Source organism: Homo sapiens, chromosome 11 (genome assembly GCF_000001405.40).
Source record: "Homo sapiens chromosome 11, GRCh38.p14 Primary Assembly".
NCBI classification, from domain to species: Eukaryota; Metazoa; Chordata; class Mammalia; order Primates; family Hominidae; genus Homo; species Homo sapiens.
The window spans coordinates 60,031,283-60,056,664 of record NC_000011.10 but is presented as its reverse complement, the minus strand read 5'-3'; the positions used below and the strand labels follow the sequence as shown (position 1 = coordinate 60,056,664).

At 38.2% G+C, this 25,382-nt stretch overlaps 1 protein-coding gene across 1 annotated transcript; it reads right to left on the bottom strand.

The window, feature by feature from the left end:
• Nucleotides 1-8,620: 8,620 nt before the first annotated feature.
• On the bottom strand, nt 8,621-16,256 carry OOSP2 (oocyte secreted protein 2). Its single transcript, NM_173801.5, has 4 exons — nt 16,142-16,256; nt 13,018-13,196; nt 11,891-11,994; nt 8,621-9,721 (listed from the first exon to the last, which is right to left on the bottom strand). Exons 1-4 carry the CDS (start codon nt 16,203-16,205, stop codon nt 9,592-9,594), a joined length of 477 nt encoding a protein of 158 aa, NP_776162.2. The 5' UTR covers nt 16,206-16,256; the 3' UTR covers nt 8,621-9,591.
• Between the last annotated feature and the right edge of the window lie 9,126 nt (nt 16,257-25,382).

Sequence of the window (25,382 nt, the reverse complement as noted above, 5' to 3'; positions counted from 1 at the left end):
ATCACTACAGCATCTTTTCCCGATAACGGAAGCCTCCACAGACTTAACGTTATCTTTGCCTTATGCAACACTTTAGAGGACTTGGTGAAAGTGTTTTGCGGGCTGACTGACCAGTGTGCTAATCACATCTGCATTTGGGGCCTCGCTGATCCATTGTGTTTCCCCAGGGCTTAGTGATGATTAGGAAACTGGTGTGAGGGATAACTGTCTTCTGGCTTTCAGATGTTGCTTAACACATTGCTGGAACAGGAAACACAAGCAACAATATGGGTAGACAAGTGGGAAGAGGTTGTGGGTTGGAGGTAGAACAGTGTTAGGTGCATAGCAAGAAGAGACAAAGTCACACTGTAAGAGAAGCATCTGGAGGAGGGAGGTGGTCACTCAGGCACTTATTTTACATGATGTGCCAGCAACGGTGCTATGTACCTTATATGCGTGATGACATTCAATTCTTACATGCTTAGAGAGGTTAATTACTTTGCCCAATATCACAGATATAATAATAATGCTAATTATTGTTTAAATGTATTAAATGGTTACTACATACAGGTCATTGTTCTGAATGCTTTACATATGTTAATTCATCTCATCCTCACAATAACCCAGGACCCAGGTACTACTATTAACCCGATGTTATGGTAGAGAAAACTATGGTATAGAAATGTTACCCAGCTTTCCTAAAATTTAACTGGAAAAGCCCTGTGCAAAATCTCTGTTTTGTACAATGGTGAAGCCCGAAGTGTGCCTGTTATCCTAATATGATTGTTAAAACCCCTCCTTTCAGTTTCTTTTTTGTTTTTTGGTTTTTTTAGGTTTTTTGTATTTGTTTGTTTGTTTCGTTTGTTTATTGAGATGGCGTCTCACTCTGTCATCCAGGCTGGAATGCAATGGTGCAATCTTGGCTTACTGCAACCTCCGCCTCCCGGGTTCAAGCAATTCTCCTGTTCCAGCCTCCTGAATAGCTGCAACTACAGGCATGCACCACCACTCCCAGCTAATTTTTGTATTTTTAGTAGAGACAGGGTTTCACCGTATTGGTCATGCTGGTCTCGAACTCCTGACCTCCGGTGATTCACCTGCCTCAGCCTCCCAAAGTGCTGGGATTACAGGCATGAGCCATCGCGCCCGGCCTCCTTTCAGTTTCAAAAGTGGCCAAATTATATGCTTATCCTAAATAAATGTCCTAAAATAGGCAATAGAAAGATCAGAGCCAAGTGACAAGGAGTAAGGAAGTAGGTAACGTGAAGATTCAAACCACAATCCTTATGAAGGTCACAGGGCCAGGCCTGAGAGAAAGAATGAGGGCACAGCCCCTGATCCATGCCCCAGGGGAGTCTGTGAGACAGAGAAGAATGTTCACAGCAAGGAAAGCGAGGTCCTAGTCCTACAAACAGGAGCGTCAGTGGGGACGTGATCACAGGAAAGAGAAAGAGGGCCAGTTACCAAGACCAAAACATAGTGTGTGGGCAGAGATTGTGAATATGAAATGAGCAGGGGCCCAGTTGCCAGAAAATTTCTGCACAGGTGCTTCTGCTAAGAGAGCTGGCACCTGAGCCCTAGGGCAGCGGCTCTCCAGGGTCTACATTTAGGAGCGAAGGAAGGGACTGATGAAAGAGAAGACAGAGACAGAGACAGAAGTCAGAAGGAAATAGCCAAAAGGAAGGTGGTAAAGATAAGATCCTTCCCTCCCCGTTTTATCCAGAACCATTGCAAATGGAATACTGAAGAAGAAAGAGATGACAAGAAAATGCCTTCAGCGAAGAAGAGAAAGAAATCTGAAGAAATGAAAGGAAAGAGTGGATGCTTTCAACATGCTCTTTTTGAATTTGGAGCTGTAGAAAAAGCCATGAAAGGAAGTTACTTAAACTCTAAGACTTCGGTTCTCCCATTTGTAAGTTGAAGATCATAGTGCCCACTTTGGGGTATAAAGTATAAATGACAGAATGCATGTAAAGGTCTTAATAACTAAGATCTTCACATGAGTTCAAAGTAAATAATAAAAATGATTGAGCTCTTTCTTCAATTCCTTAGAGAATGATTGTGAGAAACTGCTTTCAAAGGAAGATTCACAAATAAAAATTTAATATACTTACCATGTACAACATGTTTTGACACATGTGTGCATTGTGAAGTCACTAACACAAAGCAGATAATCTACTGATCACATCAGATCACATAATCATCTTTTTTTTTTTTTGGTGGTGGTGGTGAGAACATTTAAGATCTCCTCTCTTAAACTTCAAGTACATAGTACAGTATTAACTTCAGTTATCATGCTGTTCATTAGATCTGCAGAACATATGTATCTGACTGTACCTCATTAAAGCTGAGGGGGGAACAGTAAAATAAATACATAAAAATTATTTTTATTTTTTATGTATTTATTTGAGACAGAGTCTCACTCTGTCACCAGGCTGGAGTGCAGTGGCGCGATCTCAGCTCACTGCAAGCTCCGCCTCCGGGTTCAAGCAATTCTCCTGCCTCAGACTCCCGAGTAGCTGGGACTACAGGCACACACCACAACGCCCAGCTAATTTTTGTATTTTCAGTAGAGATGGGGTTTCACCACGTTGGGCAGGATTGTCTCGATCTCTTGACCTCGTGATCCACCTGCCTCGGCCTCCCAAAGTGCTGGGATTACAGGCATGAGCCACCACGCCCGGCCCCCTATTTTTTCCATTTTTGTAAGTACCTAGTGTATATACTTATGAGGTACATGAGACATTTTGATACAGGCATGAAATGCATAATACTCACATCATGAAGAATGGGGTATCCATCCCCTTAAGCAGTTATCCATTGCATTGCAAACAATCCAATTACACTCTTTATCTTAAAAATGTACAGTTATTGACTACAGTCACCCTGTTTTGCTATCAAATAGTGGGTCTTATTTATTCTATTTTTTTGTACCCATTAACCATCCCCACCTCCCCTCCCAGGCCCCCACTACCCTTCCCAGCCTCTGGTAACCATCCTTCTACTTTCTGTCTTCATGAGTTCAATTGTTTTGGTTTTTAGATCCCACAAGTGAGAACATGTGATGTTTGTTTTTCTGTGCCTGGCTTATTGCACTTGACAGAATGATCTCCAGTTCCATTCATGTTGTTGCAAATGACTGGATCTTATTCTTTTTTATGGCTGATAAATAAAAATAAATAAATTAAAAAATTTTTTAAACAAATTAAAAAGGGAAAAATAGAAGATTCATAGACCTTTTTTCCACTTGCATGCAATATTTCCCAATGGCAAGGAGACATGATCAAGGAGAGACTGACTAGCTTTCAGTGCTGAAATACCTTAAAGAATAATCAAGTTCAAAACTCAAGTAGCAAATTTCCAAAAGGAAAAGGAAATCTTCGAGTGAATTCACCTATAGTCTAGCTATTCATTTACAAGTGCCCCATTTGACTAAAAAGCAATATATTTCTCAAGACTTGCTGGTCTTATCTACTTACTAAATATTATTGCTTGCACTGTCTGTTTTACCCCCCCATACACACTCATGCCCATGTGTGTACATATTAAAATCACATTCTTCATGAAGCAGTACCTTTATATATCTTAACACATGTATAAGCTCTTAAAACACTTAACCACCTAAGGTTTTTGACTTTGGGGTGCATTAAACGTGTTTAATTCATAATTTACCAGTTTATAATGTTGCAAAAGTCACAAGTTGAAATCACGTTGAAATGGCATTAGTTACTATAATTGTAAGATTAATAAAAGATTAAGACGGACAAGGATTGTTGTTCCAAGAGGTCTTGAAATAATGAGCCATCAAATAAAACCAACAATCAGAAACTACCTTTGATTCATTCTTGTTTTGACCTCATGCTGTGTTTTCAAATAAACGAGGAAAATGGACTAGAAATCCAATCTTAGCATTTGAATGAAGGCACTGTTGTTTTAGAGGTCCTAAGAAAACTGGAAGAATTTATCATGTCATTTATTGGTAAACATGGAAATAGCCTAGATAGAAAATGCTAATACAACAGTTCTACTTTCAACTACCTAGTGGAATCTTCTGGGAAGTTTATAAGACATTAAATCAGGATATTTGTCATGAACCCAACATGAAGGTGAACTTTTTTTTTTTTTTTTTTTTGAGACAGTCTTACTCTGTTGCCCAGGCTGGAGTGCCATGGCACAATCTCGGCTCACTGCAGCCTCTGCCTCCCAGGTTCAGGCGATTCTTGTGCCTCAGCCTCCTGAGTAGGTGGGATTACAGGGGCACACCACCATGCCCAGTTAATTTTTCTATTTTTTTTAGTAGAGACAGGGTTTCACCATGTTGACCAGGCTGGTCTTGAACTCCTGGCCTCAAGTAATCCACGCGCCTCAAACTCCCAAGGTGCTAGGATTACAGGCATGAGCCACTGCACTCAGCCCAACACAAACATTTTTTAAAGGTCCCAAGGTAACGCTAATGTGAAGCCAGATTGTAGAACTACTGGGTATGTCTAAAAGACCTTTATAACGAGATAGTTGGAAATAAGATAGGAAAAAACAAATGCATTTCTCTAAGAAAGATCACCTCTTCTACTAGGGTGGCCTATGTACTTTATTTTAGGGTGTAAAATTGTATCTTAGTTTGGAGTTAAACAGATTTCATTTTTGACAGCCATTTTAATGGGATTTCATCCTGATAAGTACATTTTCTATAGTGCAAGATGGGCTTCATGTGAAATATTACAGCTCTTTAATCTTCTTTTGCCTTGATTTGCATTCTCCTCACGAAAGGTAACCATTGAGTTCTACATGAACACATTCTTTTTTTTTTTTATGGCAAGAGAGACTTTATTTTTATTTTATTATTATTATACTTTAAGTTTTAGGGTACATGTGCACAATGTGCAGATTAGTTACATATGTATACATGTGCCATGCTGGTGTGCTGCACCCATTAACTCGTCATTTAGCATTAGGTATATCTCCTAATGCTATCCCTCCCCCCTCCCCCCACCCCACAACAGTCCCCAGAGTGTGAAGTTCCCCTTCCTGTGTCCATGTGTTCTCATTGTTCCATTCCCACCTATGAGTGAGAATATGCGGTGTTTGGTTTTTTGTTCTTGCAATAGTTTACTGAGAATGATGATTTCCAATTTCATCCATGTCCCTACAAAGGACATGAACTCATCATTTTTTATGGCTGCATAGTATTCCATGGTGTATATGTGCCACATTTTCTTAATCCAGTCTATCATTGTTGGACATTTGGGTTGGTTCCAAGTCTTTGCTATTGTGAATAGTGCCACAATAAACATACGTATGCATGTGTCTTTATAGCAGCATGATTTATAGTCCTTTGGGTATATACCCAGTAATGGGATGGCTGGGTCAAATGGTATTTCTAGTTCTAGATCCCTGAGGAATCGCCACACTGACTTCCACAATGGTTGAACTAGTTTACAGTCCCACCAACAGTGTAAAAGTGTTCCTATTTCTCCACATCCTCTCCAGCACCTGTTGTTTCCTGACTTTTTAATGATTGCCATTCTAACTGGTGTGAGATGGTATCTCATTGTGGTTTTGATTTGCATTTCTCTGATGGCCAGTGATGGTGAGCATTTTTTCATGTGTTTTTTGGCTGCATAAATGTCTTCTTTTAAGAAGTGTCTGTTCATGTCCTTCGCCCACTTTTTGACGGGTTTTTTTTTTCTTGTAAATTTGATATAACCAAAGACAAAAACCACATGATTATCTCAACAGATGCAGAAAAGGCCTTTGACAAAATTCAACAACCTTCATGCTAAAATCTCTCAATAAATTAGGTATTGATGGGACGTATCTCAAAATAATAAGAGCTATCTATGACATACCCACAGCCAATATCTTACTGAATGGGCAAAAATTGGAAGCATTCCCTTTGAAAACTGGCACAAGACAGGGATGCCCTCTCTCACCACTCCTATTCAACATAGTGTTGGAAGTTCTGGCCAGGGCAATCAGGCAGGAGAAGGACATAAAGGGTATTCAATTAGGAAAAGAGGAAGTCAAATTGTCCCTGTTTGCAGATGACATGATTGTATATCTAGAAAACCCTGTTGACTCAGCCCAAAATCTCCTTAAGCTGATAAGCAACTTCAGCAAAGTCTCAGGATACAAAATCAATGTACAAAAATCACAAGCATTCTTATACACCAATAACAGACAAACAGAGAGCCAAATCATGAGTGAACTCCCATTCACAATTGCTTCAAAGAGAATAAAATACCTAGGAATCCAACTTACAAGGGACGTGAAGGACCTCTTCAAGGAGAACTACAAACCACTGCTCAATGAAATAAAAGAGGATACAAACAAATGGAAGAACATTCCATGCTCATGGGTAGGAAGAATCAATATCGTGAAAATGGCCATACTGCCCAAGGTAATTTATAGATTCAATGCCATCCCCATCAAGTTATCAATGACTTTCTTCACAGAATTGGAAAAAACTACTTTAAAGTTCATATGGCACCAAAAAAGAGTTTGCATCACCAAGTCAATCCTAAGCCAAAAGAACAAAGCTGGAGGCATCATGCTACCTGACTTCAAACTATACTACAAGGCTACAGTAACCAAAACAGCATGGTACTGGTACCAAAACAGAGATATAGATCAATGGAACAGAACAGAGCCCTCAGAAATAACGCTGCATATCTACAACTATCTGATCTTTGACAAACCTGAGAAAAACAAGCAATGGGGAAAGGATTCCCTATTTAATAAATGGTGCTGGGGAAAGTGGCTAGCCATATGTAGAAAGCTGAAACTGGATCCCTTCCTTACACCTTATACAAAAATTAATTCAAGATGGATTAAAGACTTAAACGTTAGACCTAAAACCATAAAAACCCTAGAAGAAAACCTAGGCATTACCATTCAGGACATAGGCATGGGCAAGGACTTCATGACTAAAACACCAAAAGCAATGGCAACAAAAGCCAAAATTGACAAATGGGATCTCATTAAACTAAAGAGCTTCTGCACAGCAAAAGAAACTACCGTCAGAGTGAACAGGCAACCTACAAAATGGGAGAAAATTTTCACAACCTACTCATCTGACAAAGGGCTAATATCCAGAATCTACAATGAACTCAAACAAATTTACAAGAAAAAAACAAACAACCCCATCAAAAAGTGGGCGAAGGACATGAACAGACACTTCTCAAAAGAAGACATTTATGCAGCCAAAAAACACATGAAGAAATGCTCATCATCACTGGCCATCAGAGAAATGCAAATCAAAACCACTATGAGATATCATCTCACACCAGTTAGAATGGCAATCATTAAAAAGTCAGGAAACAACAGGTGCTGGAGAGGATGCGGAGAAATAGGAACACTTTTACACTGTTGGTGGGACTGTAAACTAGTTCAACCATTGTGGAAGTCAGTGTGGCGATTCCTCAGGGATCTAGAACTAGAAATACCATTTGACCCAGCCATCCCATTACTGGGTATATACCCAAATGAGTATAAATCATGCTGCTATAAAGACACATGCACATGTATGTTTATTGCGGCACTATTCACAATAGCAAAGACTTGGAACCAACCCAAATGTCCAACAATGATAGACTGGATTAAGAAAATGTGGCACATATACACCATGGAATACTATGCAGCCATAAAAAATGATGAGTTCATATCCTTTGTAGGGACATGGATGAAATTGGAAACCATCATTCTCAGTAAACTATCGCAAGAACAAAAAACCAAACACCGCATATTCTCACTCATAGGTGGGAATTGAACAATGAGATCACATGGACACAGGAAGGGGAATATCACACTCTGGGGACTGTGGTGGGGTCGGGGGAGGGGGGAGGGATAGCATTGGGAGATATACCTAATGCTAGATGACACATTAGTGGGTGCAGCACACCAGCATGGCACATGTATACATATGTAACTAACCTGCACAATGTGCACATGTACCCTAAAACTTAGAGTATAATAAAAAAAAAAAAAGAAAGAAAACAAAAAAAACAAAAAAAAAAAAAAAAAAAAAGAAAAAAATGAAGAGGCTTTAGAGCCACCCTTCTAAAATCCAGCCACATCACTCTTTATCTTGTACATACGTATTATCTCACACTCAATAATTTACTTTGTTTTCAGCAACCATTCACCTGCCCAATATTCTCTGAAATCGGTTTATATAAAATAATTTTACTTCTATATTCAAGAGAAACACTATTGCTCAACTTTAAGTTTTATTGAGAGTTGTATAACTGCTTGAATAGCAATTGTTTTCTAGAGAACTAAAGTTCAGCAACTTAAGATGATTCCAAGCAGTAGAGTATAGTGGCTAATATACAAAGAGAGAGTATAGAGACAGATCTAAAGGCAGATTGCCCTATTTTAAATCTTGAACCAACACCAACAAGTTATGTGACTCAGGCAAATGATTTAACCTCTGTTTGCTTATCTGTAAAATTGGGATAATCATGATATATTTCACTCTTTAAGAAGATTAAATAATTTATCGCAATGTACTTGTACCATATTCTGACCCTTAGGAAGTCCCATAGAAGTATTACCTCTTAGCTGCATGTTAACTGGTAAAGACAGATGTTCACTATGACAGGGTCAAATTCTTTATCTGACAAGTTAACAGCTACAGACAGCATTTAATTGAAAATGGAATAGTATCACTTTAATTAAAAATAATAATAAACAGTATCTTGGCAAAATTTGCTTCCAGGAGGATGTGGCATCCAAAACATACATTCAATAAGCTATTGAATAGCCAATGGCACAGTTCAATTCTCACCCTTGATATAAGAAATCTACCAAATCAGAAGTATTTTTTGATATATTACATATTTAGACTCCATGTTTAAAGAAAGGAAGATAGTATAAAGTAGGTGGTAATAAATAATCATTTAATGAATGCTCTTAGGTGGCAGGATAACTCTTTGCTTAACCAACTCAACCATTCAATTATTTTGAGTGTGGAAGAACCATTCGGAGGAACAAGGGAAACCTAACATCAAATTTCAGTTAAGGTAGTGGTTACTTGAGCTCTAGAAAATAAATTGAATTTAATTCTGGAATAATCTAAATAGGTTGTCACATGGCATTATTGTTAGGATTCAACTTTACTGATTAATAGGAAAATCTACATGAATTAAAGTATCTGCACATAAAAGGATTTTGCCTTTCGTGAGAGTTAATATGTTAAATTTTACACTATGCTCAAAGTTTTGCCTCTTGCACATTTATATGTCTCTCTCTATTCTTTATTCTTCCTGAAAAATATTAGAACATATTTATTGGAGGTTCTTATCAATTAGATCAAGTCATTGTCTTTGAAGACATATTTCTGAATCTTCTACACAGAACAGAAAGAACTTAAATGTATAATATGAATTACCTAATAGTTAATGTTAAATTAATCAGCCATACCCCTACTGAATACAAATATTTAGAAATACACATTCACTAATCAACTAATCAGGACCTTTACTGAAGTAGGGTTTTTAGAAACCAGAGACTTAAGGAGAGATATACACCAACTATATTTTTGCTATGAAAAAATGAAACTGTTTTCCTGCAAAATACATAACACCAGCTTCAAGTTTCCATTTCTCCTTTAGCTCAGAGCAAGTTTGGACTAGAAGATAATAATCCTAACTCTTCTGCTGTTGTCTGAAAGTCAGCAATAAAAGGACTAGGATCCAATTTTATTTCATTCTCAGTAGAAACTGGTGTAAGCCACACTGATTTCCTAAAGAAAAGGGAAACAGAAAGCAGATAGTGTTGGAGCACTTGGGATCAAGTCAGTTTTACCACTGTTTAATATCATGATCATATACAGAATAGTCATTCAGGAGTATGGCATAGAGCCAGCATACTATGCCTTCTAGATCCTCGTGGACTCTTGGTACAGGATTTGAGCAGATAGGCTTACAGAAGAACTAATTCCAGATAGTCTCCCCATGATTTCTGCATCAAACACTGAGTAGAAAGACGAATGGTCTTAGATAATTTGTGATGCTTGCATTAGAAGAGTACCAATGTACCCAGCAAAACAGACTCAGCCAAATGGATCCTAAGAACAGTAAGAAAAAGCCACCAAAAGCTTAATCTGTCCCACTGTAGTGGCAGCAAAGTTCTATATGTCAATGTGAGTAAGTGAATATGAGAGAGAGAGACTACAACATTAAAATTCATGCACCCAAAACCTAAACAGACAACTTTGTTGGCCAAGTCTTCATTTTTTTTTTAAGGAAAGTAGGCTTCAAGCAACATAGTAGTTACTATCAAAATAGGAATATCTATTTATCATGATTACTCTGGCAGCCTACGGAAAGGCAGTAGTTCTGAGGCATTAGATCAGAACTCTGTGTTGCTCCAAGCTTTGGGTAGTTCATAGAATTGAAAACATATGTATGTGTGTGAAAGGTAGACAGAGACAAAGAGATGGAGATGGAGAGAGACAGGGAGAAAGAGAGAGAGACAGAGAGAGAGAGAGAGACAGAGAAACCGAGAGAGAGGCAGAGCGAGAGACAGAGAGACCAGAGAGACAGAGAGACAGGCCAGAGAGACAGGGACAGACCAGAGAGACAGGGACAGAGACAGAGAGAGAGAGACAGACAGAGAGAGACAGACAAAGACAGAGAGACAGACAGACAGACAGAGACAGAGGCAAAGGCAGAGTGAGAGACAGAGGGACAGACCAGAGAGACAGGCCAGAGAAACAGGGACAGACCAGAAAGACAGGGACAGACAAGGACAGAGACAGAGATAGAGACAGAGAATCAAGGGGTGGTTTCTATTTAGAGTTCAGCTATGTTCCTGAATATCACTAAATCCCTCAGCCTTTATGAAAATAAGTTAAAGGGAAGAGTAAAAGTATTATGAAAATACTTTATGAAAATAAGTTAAAGGGAAGAGTAAAAGTATTAACAATGTGAATGGACTTAATGCCACTGAACTGTACACTTAAAATGGTATCTTAGATTATGTACATTTTACCAAAATTAAAAGATTTGTACATTTTCCCAAAATTAAAAAAGATTATATACATTTTAACAAATTTACAACTTGTACAAATGTACAAGATTATGTATATTTTACCAAAATTAAAAAAAAATTCTGCCTCTCCTTGAGAAAAAGTACTATAATCACATTAAGACATTGCACATTGGCTGAGCTCTAAATTCTTATTTTGATGTCAACTATTTTCACATATTAAGCAAGGATAAAAATTTTCCTGTGGTTTTGAGATAGTTTCCAAGGTTCTTCACTCAGATTTATAAGACTTAACATAAATATTTCAATGGCATGGCAAAAAAAAAAAAAGTGTATCAGGATACCTTTCCACTTAGTCTCAAAGTTCACACGAGGCTCTTGGGATTCAATATCTCAGTTCCACAAAATTGCAAGCAAAGTACATTTAATAATTAGGCTGATAAGCCCTCCCTTCATGTATTCTCCATGAGTTAGTATTAAATGAAGGACTGATTTTCTTATGTTTTTAGCCACTTACTCTTATAAGATGAAATTGAGCAATAAAATGTATCAGAATATTATAAAAGACAAAACATTGAAAGATAATATCAGTGCTTAATCCTATCACTTACTAAAGGTGACAGAGTATTTAATGACTCTGCTTTGTAGTTGAGTTATTATAAAATAACATAGTTACACTAGATTGTTAGGACCATTATAAATCTATATGTTTTTATTCTAAAATAAACATTACATTCAAAATATTAAAACATTTTAAAGTACTCATTAAAATATTTGTGTAAATACTAATTTGGGGTTTGTTTACAATTATACTTATGGGTGAATCATGTTATATTCTCTAAAGTCTATGCTTCTGCAGAAGCTTCTCATAAGCAAAGGTAAAGCTAAAACATTCCAAAGGAATCAAATCTGCTGGACTTACCTAGAGGTGGAACACTCCAAATGGATTTCCTGAGGGTCATGATCTATATTCCTTGGGGTAAAGTACAGCTCGGTTTGAAAAAGGAGAGTTTCCTCAGAAACTACCTAGGAGAGCATGAAGTTTCAGTGGAAGATATTTGGAGTAACAGATGAGGAATACACACACTTGAATAGGATGTAAAAAACATTCATGATCTCAAAAATGGCTACTGTCATTCTTAAATATAAATAAAGATATGACAACTCACTGGGACAGAAGAGGAGTGTTATCCCTAAGAGTGAATTTAAAATGCCTGGGGGCAAAACAATCTTAATTCATTGCAGCAAATTTAAACTGCCGCTTACAGCCATCTTTATGATTCATTAATGAAAAGGTTTCCAACAGTTCCTTTGAGAAAGGTGATTTGTAAGTCAAATAACGGAGAGTGGTTTAAAGCACAAGCTTCGGAGAGTATTCATCCTGGTTTGGTATCTAAACTACCACCAACAAGCAGTGCATCCCTGGAAAAGCTGGTAAAGCACCTTCTGAAGCTCCAAGTTCCCAATTTCTAAAATAAAATACTTTATTCAAAAATGATTGTTATTATCATTGGTCACTGGCCCAAAATATTTGTGTAGTGTGAATATAAATTGCTTAAATTTGGGAATCTGTGAGAAGATAATATCCCAGGATAACAACGCAATTTAGGATTTGTGCCTAGCTGAATGACAAGAGATTTCATTTCAATGAAAATCCACTATATATTTACACAAATCCTCATGGAACATGGATAGATTTCAAATGACCTAACATTGAACATGATGGAGCTTCCCAAGATTGGTGACCTTCCACATTAGAAGAATCACACAAAATTTAAAGCAGTCTGCTAATATTTAGTAAAATATAATAGTAGCCTAAGGGCAACTTAGAATCAGTTCCCTAGCCAATTTATAAATCTGTGATCTAAGGTCCTGTGCACACAGAATGACCCAATATTCAGTGAAAAATAATGATAAATTCCGTTGTCCCCTGCCCATAAATTACTACAATGAGAAGCAAACATTATTTTTTTAAAAGACAATTTTAATACTAGGCATAAAAGTCTGACAAAACATGCAGTATTTTTTACAAACAATCACTGTTCTTACCCTTGTCCTGATGCCACAATCACGAACAAGATATATAAACTCATATACATATGTATGTATCCGATTTGCAGGGCAGCCCATTCCCAGATGTAATTCATCCGCAAATATATACAGATTTCTGCTTTCTGCAACTGGGATAACTGAGACCATCAACCAGTCCAGAGAGCAACTTATTTTCACTGTGGAAAGAACCATATGAAAAGCATCAGAAGGGTGTCTATCTTAAGAAAGTGTTCAAAGAATAGTCAACTCTGCCCTCTGTGATAAATAAAAGGCATTTATTTCTCTGGCAAGGGTAACCATGGCTTAAAGGTTTTCTTACAAACATTATTAAAATTATTTTCCAAAATACCTAACTAATTATGCCCCCATGTAACTAGATTTCAGCAATTTCATGGAGGAGGTGGGAGGATCAACATGCAAGAATAAGAAAAAGCATAAATGGGCCGGGCGCAGTGGCTGACGCCTGTAATCCCAGCCTTTTGGGAGGCCGAGGCGGGCGCATTACAAGGTCAGGAGATCGAGACCGTCCTGGCTAACACAGTGAAACCCCGTCTCTACTAAAAATACAAAAAATTAGCCGGGTGTGGTGGCAAGCGCCTGTAGTCCCAGCTACTCGGGAGGCTGAGGCAGGAGAACGGCGAGAACCCAGGAGGCGGGGCTTGCAGTGAACCAAGATCGCGCCACTGCACTCCAGCCTGGGTGACAGAGAGAGACTCCAAAAAAGAAAAAAAAAATAAGAAAGAAAATGAAAAACCATAACCGTATAGCCCCTTAATATTTCCTAAATATTCCATGGAGGGGGATATATTTAGGACAAAACATAAGGGGCAGAAGTGAATTGCAATGTGTTAGAATAAAAGCGATATCATCCCAGTATACTTTTGGAAAGAGAAAGAGGAGAAAGGGTGGTTCTAGAACAGTAGAATTCTTGTCTAGAGCAGCCAGAACCAGAAACAATCTCAGCCATAAAAGGAAAAAGAGAGAGAAAGCCCTTTATTTGGGATGTTAGCTCCATGCACGTTTTGTTGTAAAACCCATCTTTATCCTCTATATTTAAATCGTCAGTAAGTCAATAATAATCATTATTTGCAATAGATTCATTTGGAGGAACTGAGTCTTTTCAGCATTAAAAGGTACATATTTAAATTATTAATGAGCAAGTGGCCACAGAGGACTCCACCACCACTGGAGCTTGGAAGTTCCGCCTTTAGAGAGAAATCATCAACAAGGTAAGACAATGCACATTTCAGAAAAGGTGTAGAGGCAAATGTCCTGCATTAGTGATCATAACCTTTAAATCACGTCTCTCTACGTGTTTGAAATACTGTTCTCACATCACCTAGGAAAGATGATCAGGAAGGTCCTTCCTAAAGGAAAATAAATTCCAGCAGCTAAGATTAAAGATGGATGGAAAGGAGAAGTGGGCATGACACACAGAAAGCCCATACTTATGATTTCACTGCATTTTTTTTCACAGTAACATTAGAAAGTCGAGTTTTGGGGGGGTTTTTTTGTTTGTTTGTTTTGAGACGGAGTCTCGCTCTGTCACCCAGGATGGAGTGCAGTGGCGCTGTCTCCGCTCACTGCAAGCTCCGCCTCCCAGGTTCATGCCATTCTCCTGCCTCAGCCTCCCGAGTAGCTGGGACTACAGGCTACAGGCACCCGCCATCACGCCTGGCTGACCTCGTGATCCGCCCACCTTGGGCTCCCAAAGTGCTGGGATTACAGGCGTGAGCCACCGTGTACCCAGCCTGTTTTTCAGACGGAGTTTTGCTTTTTTTTTTTTTTTTTTTTGAGACAGAGTCTCGCTCTGTCACCCAGGCTGGAGTGCAGTGGTGTGATCTCAGCTCACTGCAAGCTCCGCCTCCCGGGTTCAAGTGATTCTCCTGCCTGAGCCTCCCGTGTAGCTGGGATTACAGGCGCCCACCACTACACAAGGCTACTTTTTGTATTTTTAGTAGAGACGAGGTTTCACCATGTTGGCCAAGCTGGTCTCGAACTCCTCCTGACCTCTGGTGATCCACCCGTCTCGGCTTCCCAAAGTGCTGGGATTACAGGTATCAGCCACCGTGCCCAGCCAGAAACTCAGTTTTAGTCTGACGTTCTATCAAATAGCTGAGAAAAGCCTGAGAAACACACATAGATACTTTCACTGCAGCAGAATCTTCCTTTGCTCAGGCTTCCTGAAAGACAGTTAGGGCCTAAACACCCTACCCACCCTAAATAGCCAGAATTCACAGTGGCTCTTTCTCTCCATGTGCTGTTCATTTCAATAATTAACTGTTAACTGTTACCTGGTGAGCTTCACTGATCTAGGCATTCTTAAAATTCATCTTAGGTAAAATGGAAAAATATCAGGAGCTATATGTGATCTTTGCTTCCAAAGGTATTACAGGCCAAATGGGTAAGAAATTGACGTATCAGTTTCAAAGAAAAACCCCCTTTCAAATTACCAAAAAAAGTCTACAAAAAGAAACCATAAAGAACATAAAAAGTAATATTGAAATGCTACTTTACAGATTACATTTAGTCAGGCCTTGGAGCTGGCAAGCATTTGGATTCCAGGCAAAACAGAAAAGATACATTGGAATCAACTTGTAGACAGCAACGCGCTGACTTAGCTTTCTCCTATTAACTTTGCAGAACCGTTGATGAGTTTAACATGGGTGAAGTTCAGAGCAGTCTTTTTAAGGGAACAAAACAGCAATAATATCAGCATTAAGCAAAAATATGAGTCTGGAAGCAGGAAGATCAGCTAAGATGCAACTGAATATCTTACAATGTGATACAATCAAGCACCAGTAATTGGCAGGGGTTTGAAATGTTAGACTGAAAGAGAGCCAAGGACTATTCCTGAAGAACCTCTGAAAATGAGTCTCAAGTTAGAGAGAAGACCAAAACAGAGAGAGAGAGAAATAAAAGCCTGAGAACTGGGACATTTAGGCAGAAAGAGAAAATGTATCCTCCGTATATTGACACAAGTCTACTTGGCCTGAAAGCGCTTCTTCTTCTAGCCAGTTAGAATAAGATCAGATTTCTTCAGGGAGTAAAACACCTGCATGGAAAGCGATCATTATGATTAACTCCTTCGAGGAAGCATTCTCTAAAACTTGTTATTTACCATGGAGGTTCTCAGCACCGGTCCAAATCAAGACAGCGAGGAGCATCAAGACTTCTAACGCCATGGAGACCTTCGTCTGAGCAGACCTCCAGCACAGGACAACTCAGGAAACAAGGAGTGGCGACTGGTTTAAGTGATTTTTATATGGCATCCCATGCTCAGCTGCGTTCGTTTTCCTCCTTATTTGGGTAGTTCACAGGATGCTCTTATCACAGTGTCAGCTACCTAAAGGCTGAGACTCTCTTGATTATCCAAACACTGAAGCTCAAAGAGACATATCAAGAAAAAAGTGTTATTTGATAACAGTCTTTACAAGTCCTGTTACAAACATCAGGAGGATGGCATGGCACACAATGCTTCCAGTAAATACTAAATTACAGGAAACTGTTCTTACTAGCTAACGTTCAGGTGTTTTAAGTTTCCATCTAATATGAGAACAGCCTAGATCTTTCATACTTGAAATCAAAAGACTATTATTTCTTCATTTCTATGGGTTTGGCTGGAAGAAGCAAAGCAGACATGATAAACTGACTTGACCAGGAACATAAATCTCTAGGAGGGGACAGGCACCCAAAGGAAAGTCAAGTCTATTGGTATTAGGAAAGTTGACAATTCCCTCTCTGTTGATTCTTTCTAAATTAAGGTGTTGGTAACTTTAGTCATTTCAAACCTGAGACAAGAGAATATTTTATATGCATATATATACACATAACTGTATATGTATAATAATTTATATTTATGATTTTTTCAATACTGAAGTAGAATAAAAGTTCCAGCCAAAGATTTTTATTGTATTTTTTTAAAATGTTAGTCACGGCCTGAATGTGACTGCGTGGTTTTAAGGGTAATTGAAAATCAAAGGCTAACAGTAAATAAAATTCAAAGAGGCTGAATTAAATGCCTATTATTGCTTTTAGTCATATCTGAATTATATTTTCAATGTTACAGTCTGCTGTCAAATGACTACATGCACAGAGCTTCCCTATGCATTTAAGAAGGACTTCTATTTCTGACATTACATTCTCTTGTGGACAGTGAGATCCCCAAAGCTGTGACCCACACAGTGCTCTGCATCAGGAAAGCCTGGAGAATCCAGTCGCCCAACCACCAATGGGGAAAGAGTATTAGAGAAAGAGAAGGGCAAGTCTACATGTTATTTTTTCATCTTTCATTTCTTTAAACATTTTTCTGATGTTAAGAACATTTTCAGGATCTAAAATTTATTAACTTCATATGCAGCTTTTAAATCTTGCCTATGTAAACATCTAATATTGTTCCAAAAGGAATCATTGGCCAGTTTCTTGTATTTCAGTTTGAGAAAGTTAAACAAGCTAAGGCTGCTGTTCATACGCTGTAAAAAGGAGATATATTCTCTCTAAACTTATTGTGAATAAGACATAGCAAATGTAAACTGTCTTGCTCAAGTCAATAGCGTACAAAAAATATCTAATATATGACTATTTCCTGTATCTTGAAGCACAGTTAGTAACAGGACTTTATGCAATGTTTCAAGGATTACTCAAAGCCGCAGAATGAACAAAGTTCATTTTCCAAAAATTCCAATTTTAATACAGAATTTTACTGTGAAACAGTAATGGAATTTAAATATAACTTTAATGTAAAATGGAGATAAAGCAGAGATAAAACAAATATTTTAAAACAATTTATAACTTAGGGAAATGTTGCAACTATAGTACAAAAAAACTTTCTTTTTCCTGGACCTTTTGAGAGCAGGTTGCTGGTAAGATGTTCCCTTGACTGTAAATATTTTGAAGTATATATCCAACAAATAAGGCCATTCTTCTACTAGAGTGCTTCTCAATAATTGGAACTTAGATGATGGAGGGGTCCATGGGATCAGATCTATTTTCACAATAACACATTTTCTTTTTCATAATGTCGACATTTGCACAGGTGTGCAAAAACAGTGGTGGGAAATGCTCCTGCCTCTTGAGCACCAATCAAGGTAGTAGCATAAGAATGTGTTAGTTTGTTAGTCACCATTGTATTCTTCACCCCTGTGCACTCACAGTAAAGGGAAAAAGCCAGTTTCACTTAAGTCTTGAAGCAGTAAAAAGTATCTGTTTTATTAAATGCCAACCGTTGAATGCATGCCTTTTTACTATTCAGAGTGATAAAATAGAAAGTATGCATAATACACTTTTGCTGCGTATCAAAGTATGAAGAGTGTCTCAAGGAAAATCTGTGCAGTTATTGGAGCTGTGAGCTGAACTAGCCACTTGTTACATAGAACACCATCTTTACTTAAAGAATGACTATCAGACAAACAATGATTATTCGCCCGTGGGTATTCGACATTTTTTGAAATTGAATGATGTAAACTTGTCACTTCAAAGAAAACAACTAACAACAATTAAACTCAGTGATAAAATTCAAGCTTAAAGGAAAAATTAGCATTTTGAAAAAGTTGTATTCTCTACTATGAGCTTGGAAGCTCACTGGTGATATCTTAACTATGATTTCTTGTATTGCATAATAAAATATCATCACTTAAAACATCTGCATAACTCTGAACTAAAATTTTCCCAATTATCTGCACATGATGTTACAGAAACATTCATGGGCAAAGTACAAGAGGGACCAGTGGATTTTAATGGGAATAAGTATGAAGAGTTTATTGATATATTTTCAGATCCCATGTTGCAACAAACCTCGAAGATACTGCCCCTTAGTAAGTTTTGGTGCAGTATCAAAAAAAAAAAAAAAGCCACAATTATCTGAAAAGGCTTTTAAAATACTCTCCTTTTTTCCAACCACGTATCTGTGTGAGGCAGGGTTTTCTTTATGTACATTAACCAAAGTGACATATTACAAAGACCGAACGCAGAAGCAGATATGATAATCCAATTTTCTTCTAGTTAGCCAGACAAGAGACTTGCAAAAATGCGAATATAAAATGATGTCACTCTTTTTTTGGAAAACAGTAATTTTTCACTAAATGTTCACTATTTTATGTTAACACCTGTTGGGTTTATTAGCTATTTTAATTATTTAATAAATATTTTTAACTCAGTTTTAATTTCTAATGTGGTAATGTGGATGGATAAAGCCCATATAAATAAAAGCTCTTTGTAATTCAATATTTTTAACAGTCTAAAGGAGTCCTGACATCAAAAATTCTGAGCAGCATATATACCCCAAAGAAAGGAAATCAGTATATTGAAGAGATATCTACACTCCTGTTTGTTGCAGAACTGTTAACAATAGCTAAGATTTGGAAACAACCTAAGTGTCCATCAACAGATGAATGGATAAAGAAAATGTGGTACATATAAACTATGAAGTGCTATTCAGCCATAAAAAGTATGAGATCCCGTCTTTTGCAACAACGGGGATGGAGCTAGAGGCCATTATGCTAAGTAAAATAAGCCAGGCATAGAAAGACAAACATCACATGGTCTCACTTATTTGTGGGATCTAAAAATCAAAACAATTGAACTCATGGACATAGAGAGTAGAAGGATGGTTACCAGAGGCTGGGAAAAGTAGTACGGGGGAGATAGGGATGGTTAACGGGTACAAAAAAAATAGAATAAGACTATTTGATAGCACAAAAGGGTGACTACAGTCAGTAATAACGTAATTGTACATTTTAAAATAATGAAGAGTGTAATCAGATTCTTCATGATGCAAAGGGTACATGCTTGAGGAGATGGATATCCCATTCTCCATGGTGCAACTATTATGCACTGCATGCCTGTATCAAAATATCTCAGGGACCCCATAAATATATACACCTACTATATACCTGCAAAAATTAAAAAGTTTTTAAAGTCTAAGCAGCCAGCATTATTGCATTGTGGCTGCAAAGTTGTTTAACGGCTACAGAGTTACAGTTTTACAAGATGAAGAGTTCTGTTACATGACAATGTAAATGTACTAAACACTACAGAATTGTACACTTAAAATGGTTAAGATGGTAAATTTTATGTTATATGATCTTATTAAAAATAAAATTAAAACTATTACATTACATATCTAAATGTGAAAAGCAAGACTGTAATTTTTTAAGAGAAATACGTAGGACAGAATATCTTTGTGACATTCTGATAGGGAAGGCTAAAGGTGGAGGTTTGGAGTGGGAAACCTCCATTCCACAAACCTCCAAATAGGAGCATTCATGTTATACATACTTTGGTTAAACAGTGTTTTGAACAGCCACGTGAATATGTTGTAGAGGAAAATGAATAACTGAGTCTGCATTTCAGGGGTGAAGTCCAGGATAGAGATGTAACTTGAAGCCATCAGCACAGGGATGTTAGTTAAAACAATGAGATTGAATGAACTCTCCAAGGGAGTGGATATGTAGAGATGGGGTGAGCAGTTCAATGTCCAATCCCTAGGAACCCCAATAAGCTAGAAAAGAAGAGAAATATCAACCACAGAGGATCTACTAAAGACAAACAGTGATCACTGAGAAAGGATGCTATTGCAGAAGCAAGATTTTTTAAAAATTTGGCCAGAAGAATTAATATATCAATAATATACCCAGAGATACATCATACTGAGAATAATTATTTCTATTAAAACTAAGCACAAAACAAGGCCTCTAACTTTGCTATTGCAGAAAAAAAAAACTTATTGCACTCCGACAAGAGACAAAAAGTTTATATATTTGAAATAGTTACTTTTTGTTTGAGACAGGATCTCACTCTGTCACTCAGGCTGGAGTGCAGTGGCATGATCATGGCTCACTGCAGTCTCGACCTCCTGGGCTCAGATGATCCTCCTACCTCAGCCTCCTGAGTAGCTGGGACTACAGGCACCCACCACCATGTCTGGCTAATTTTTGTAGAGATGAGGTTTTGCCATGTTGCCCAGGCTGGTCTCAAACTCCTGGGCTCAAGCAATCCACCTGCCTTGGCCTCCCAAAGTGCTAGGATTACAGGTGTGAGCCACTGTGCCTGGCCTGAAATAGTTAATATCAATATTAGTTTCAGCTGATATAATCAACTTATTAAAAAAAGAGAATCAACTAACAAATTATTAAACTGATTAAAAATTCAACAAGCATGATGGATATTACTACTCAAAAAAAAACTTAAAGCAGTCATATGTGCTAATTTGGATTCATTGATCCAATTCAAAAAAAAAAAAACGAGAATAAAAGAATCCCATTAGTAATTGTTCCCGAGTTTTCATGAAACCCTGTAGAGGGCCTCATATTGGCAGTTGGTTGGCCCCATTCATTGTGTTCTACAATTTTTAGGGATACCTGATCACTAAGTTCTAAAGATAACAGTCTGTGTGCTTTGTTTCAATATATTGGTTGCACTGTCTGTTTGTGTAAGATTTGGGGCAACTCAAACTATACCACCACTGTGACCTTATCCCAATGTAAAACAACCTTTCTATGATACACATGCAGAATAAAGCAAGTGCATAAGGAAATTTTAAAGTTGTTATACACACTTTGTTCAGAGTATGCTTGGCAGAGACCCCATGTGTAATTATTTGTATTACCCAAAGCATATCTTAGCATAATGAACTCATATGTGTAAATAATTGATTAGCTTTATCAAAATTAAACAATAAATATTACAGCAGTTTTCTCTGTAGCTATCTAGGTTACACTATATATGCTAGAAGTAAAGGGATGGGAAGACTGCATTACTTAAATTCCTTTGTTAGGATTATTCGGGTGCCAGCAGTTGTAGAGGCCATCTCTGATCATACCTATCTGACACCTCCCTGTGCCCCACTTTGTCCCATTCTCTGACCAGGGCACCCACAGGACTGACTTTCAGTTTGCCTTTATTCTACATTTTGTCACAACTACTAAGGAGGACAAAACCTGCTAACTCCCCTAACCACATTAAGTTTGAGTCCAGCCTTTTTTGGAGTGATTAGCAAAAATCCTGTCTGAATACTGATGAAGAACGCAAGATAGAAAGAAAACCACAAAAACTGCTAAATTTAAAAGATGTTAAATTTTTAAGCCTGCACAAACATTAAGTGTTGACTCCCAAAGAAATCTTTCCCATCTAAATAGCACCACAAGTCACCCACTTATAGCCCCCAATCACAGGAGACATGCTTGATTCCAGTGTGTTTCTCACACTCTGTGTCCAAACCATTTGTATGTTTTAATATCCCGCAAAATATATCCTCAATTGTACCACTTCTCTTGACCCTTGGCTCTAACCTTTCAAGTCAAAAACAATTTTCGCCAACTTTCTGGTCAGCCTGTTACTGCTATGTCTCCAGGAAATTAACAAGATTCTTTAACCCAGAGACATTGTTTCTTCAATTTCACAGCTGCACAAATCCTTGTCAAAAATAAAACAGATTGTTATCCATCTGATCTCCCTTTGATACACTGTATATCCCTGAAATCATTATTATTGGAATTAGTGAATACTTACATTAAAAGTTAATTTTAAAAACTTAAGATTTTTCAAAGTATCAGACATTAAATGTCAAAAATTAAGATCTAAAACCAAAAGCATCTGGATCAAAACCTCATTCTGACATGTAGAGATTTTGGTCAATTGAATTCACCATTGAGACTTTTTAGGTTGAGTTAATGAGTACCTGCCTCATTACTGTAGTGATTGTTAAATAAATGCATGTATCCTATTGCAATGAGGGCCACAGATGGCTATTTTTAAATTTTAGGTTCAGGGGTACATGTGCAGGTTTGTTATATAGGTAAACTGCGTGTCACGGGGCTTGGTGTACAGATTAGTCACCCAGGTAATAAGCATAGTAACTGATGGGTAGTGTTCTATCCTCTCCCTCCTCCTACCCTCCATCCCTCAAGTAGGCCCTGGTGTGTGTTGTTCCCTGATTTGTCTCCACGTGTACTCAAGGTCTGGCTCCTACTTATAGGTGAGAATATGCGGTATTAGGTTTTCTGTTCCTGCATTATTTCACTTACGATTATGGCCTCCAGCTCCATCCATGTTGTTGCAAAGGACATGCCTCATTTTTATGGCTGTGTAGAGTTCCATGGTGTATATGCACCATATTATCTGTACCCAGTCTACTATTGATGAGCATTTAGATTGATTCCATGGCTTTGCTATTGTGAATAGTGCTGGGACAAACATGTGTCTTTATGGTAGAATGATTTATATTCCTTTGGGTATATAACCAATAATGGGATTTCTGGGTCGAATGATAGCCCTAAGTTTTTGGAGGAATTGCCACCCTGCTTTCCACAATGCTGAGCTAATTTACATTCCCACCAGCAGTAGGTAATTGTTCCCTTTTCTCTGCAACCTGGCAAGCATCTGTAATTTTTTTAACTTTTTTATAAGAGCCCAAAAATATCTTTTAATTGGGATTTATATTTCCAGGAGTAGTCAAAAATCTACTAGGGTTTATCGAAATGAAAGATTAGGCCAAGTGTCCTCACCCCTGTAATCCCAGTACTTTGGGAGGCCGAGGTGGGTGGATCACCTGAGGTCAGGAGTTCAAGACCAGCCTGGCCAACATAGTGAAACCCCATCTCTACAAACATACAAAAATTAGCCAGGCATGATGGGTGCCTGTAATCCCAGCTACTCAGGAGGCTGAGGTGGGAGAATCATTTGAACCCGGGAGGCAGAGGTTGCAGTGAGCCAAGATCGTGCCCATTGAATCCCAGCCTGGGTGACAGAGCGAGACTCCATCTCAAAAATCAAATAAAAAAGAAAGGTCAGGCCAAGTCATGCTGCATCTTTAATTTTACTCAAGGTGGAAAGAAATAAAAATAGTAAAAGAATCACATATATTCAGATGACAAAATTTTACTGTCATTTTCATTTCAAAAACAAAAGTATTCAGTCCCTTCAACCAATCCCAGCTCTTTTCCAGCTTCAGCTGTCTTGGGAAGGATTGAAGATCAGGAAATTGACATAGTTAGGTACCTGTTAGTCAACCAAGCCCAGCAGCTCAGCTAAGTTATTTAGCAGTTCTAGATGACTCAAATTTAGATGTCTTTGTATTCTCTTGGAACAAAAATCCCCATTTCTAGAGGGGAAAGAGAGGTACTTTCAGATTTAGCAAAAATAAATTGTGTCTAAAGAGGTGGAGAGAGACCTTTTTCACATTTTCTTGTGTCCATGAGTTTTTCTCCCTCCCAGGAGCAAGAAGTCTAGCCATAAGAATGTTCTGCCCCAACTACATTTTCCCTATGGAAGAAGACTGACCCTGCTTTGAGTAAAGATCATTTGTGTGCATGCATCCCTGCTCATGTATGTGGTACTTTCTGGTTCAGGCTCCCTGGAATGAGTTTGGCACCTGTACTCTTTTACAGTATACTCAAAGGCACAAGACTTCACTTCCAGAGATATACTAAGCAATTTAAATTAAGAGAAGAATTAGATATCTTTCCACCTGGGATGCAAGCTGTGATCAGCATGATCTGAGTTTTGAGCACTTTTGTGTTGGAATAAGCAGCTATTGTGGAGCCTGCCGTCCCTCTAAGGGATTTTCACTGGGCCTGGGACACTGTGCTATATGGAAGCTGGGAGCGAAGTTGTCACTTGGTTCCAGGTTCTTTATTAGAATAAATCATTTCCCTGTTCTGGGTACACAAGGCACATTCGCTGTATTGCTTAAGGTGTGGGTGTCACATGGCACTTGGCTGGTATCGGTATAGGTATACCTACCCCCTGTGGTAAGGTATCAGGGTCTTTGCCTACAGCTCCAGAGGGGTGCATGCATCCCCCACTTTGCATTGGCTATCAGGAGGGACCTACATGGGAGACTAATACACACAACAAATGCTGATTTTGCTTCATCTTTTCTCCTTGCTTCACCTTTCCTTCTCTCCGGACACACAAAAAAAGACACTGGTTCCAACCAGTGCCTTGTGTGTGCCAAGTCATCCTTGGCAACTCCAAGATAGATTCAGTGGGTCTAGATATGTGAGCTCCCACTCCTGGTGCTTGGCACTATTATTTTTGCCACCCTCCATGCAATGGGAATTCTTATTTGGGATTCATAGCTGGATCTCCCTACTCGACATTTTGCCGATCAATTCAGGAGCCTCAAAAGGAAGAGCAAGTCATCTTGTTCACTAAGAAAATCTCCACCAAAGCACTGATGGTGGGAAGGGTGGTGTGACAGTGTAGTTGTGGCCCTGTATGGTTACAACACTTTCAGAATTAGGCCAAAAAGCAACTGAAATATTTTCTTCTAGATTCTTGCTTTATCAAGGTAATAGAAAAGAAATGCACAATGTCAAAATAAGTTTACAATGTTTCCTCATGAGACATTATCAGGAAACAGA

What these genes read in the sequence shown, in the direction of transcription:
- OOSP2 (NM_173801.5), bottom strand. Translation starts at nt 16,205, where the DNA reads ATGGCGTTAGAAGTCTTGATGCTCCTCGCTGTCTTGATTTGGACCGGT. An exon ending in CGGTGCTGAGAACCTCCATG is followed by an intron (nt 13,197 to 16,141) that starts GTAAATAACAAG and finishes TTCTTTCCACAG; the next exon opens with TGAAAATAAGTTGCTCTCTG. An exon ending in TTGGAGTGTTCCACCTCTAG is followed by an intron (nt 9,722 to 11,890) that starts GTAAGTCCAGCA and finishes CCTTTTCTTTAG; the next exon opens with GAAATCAGTGTGGCTTACAC.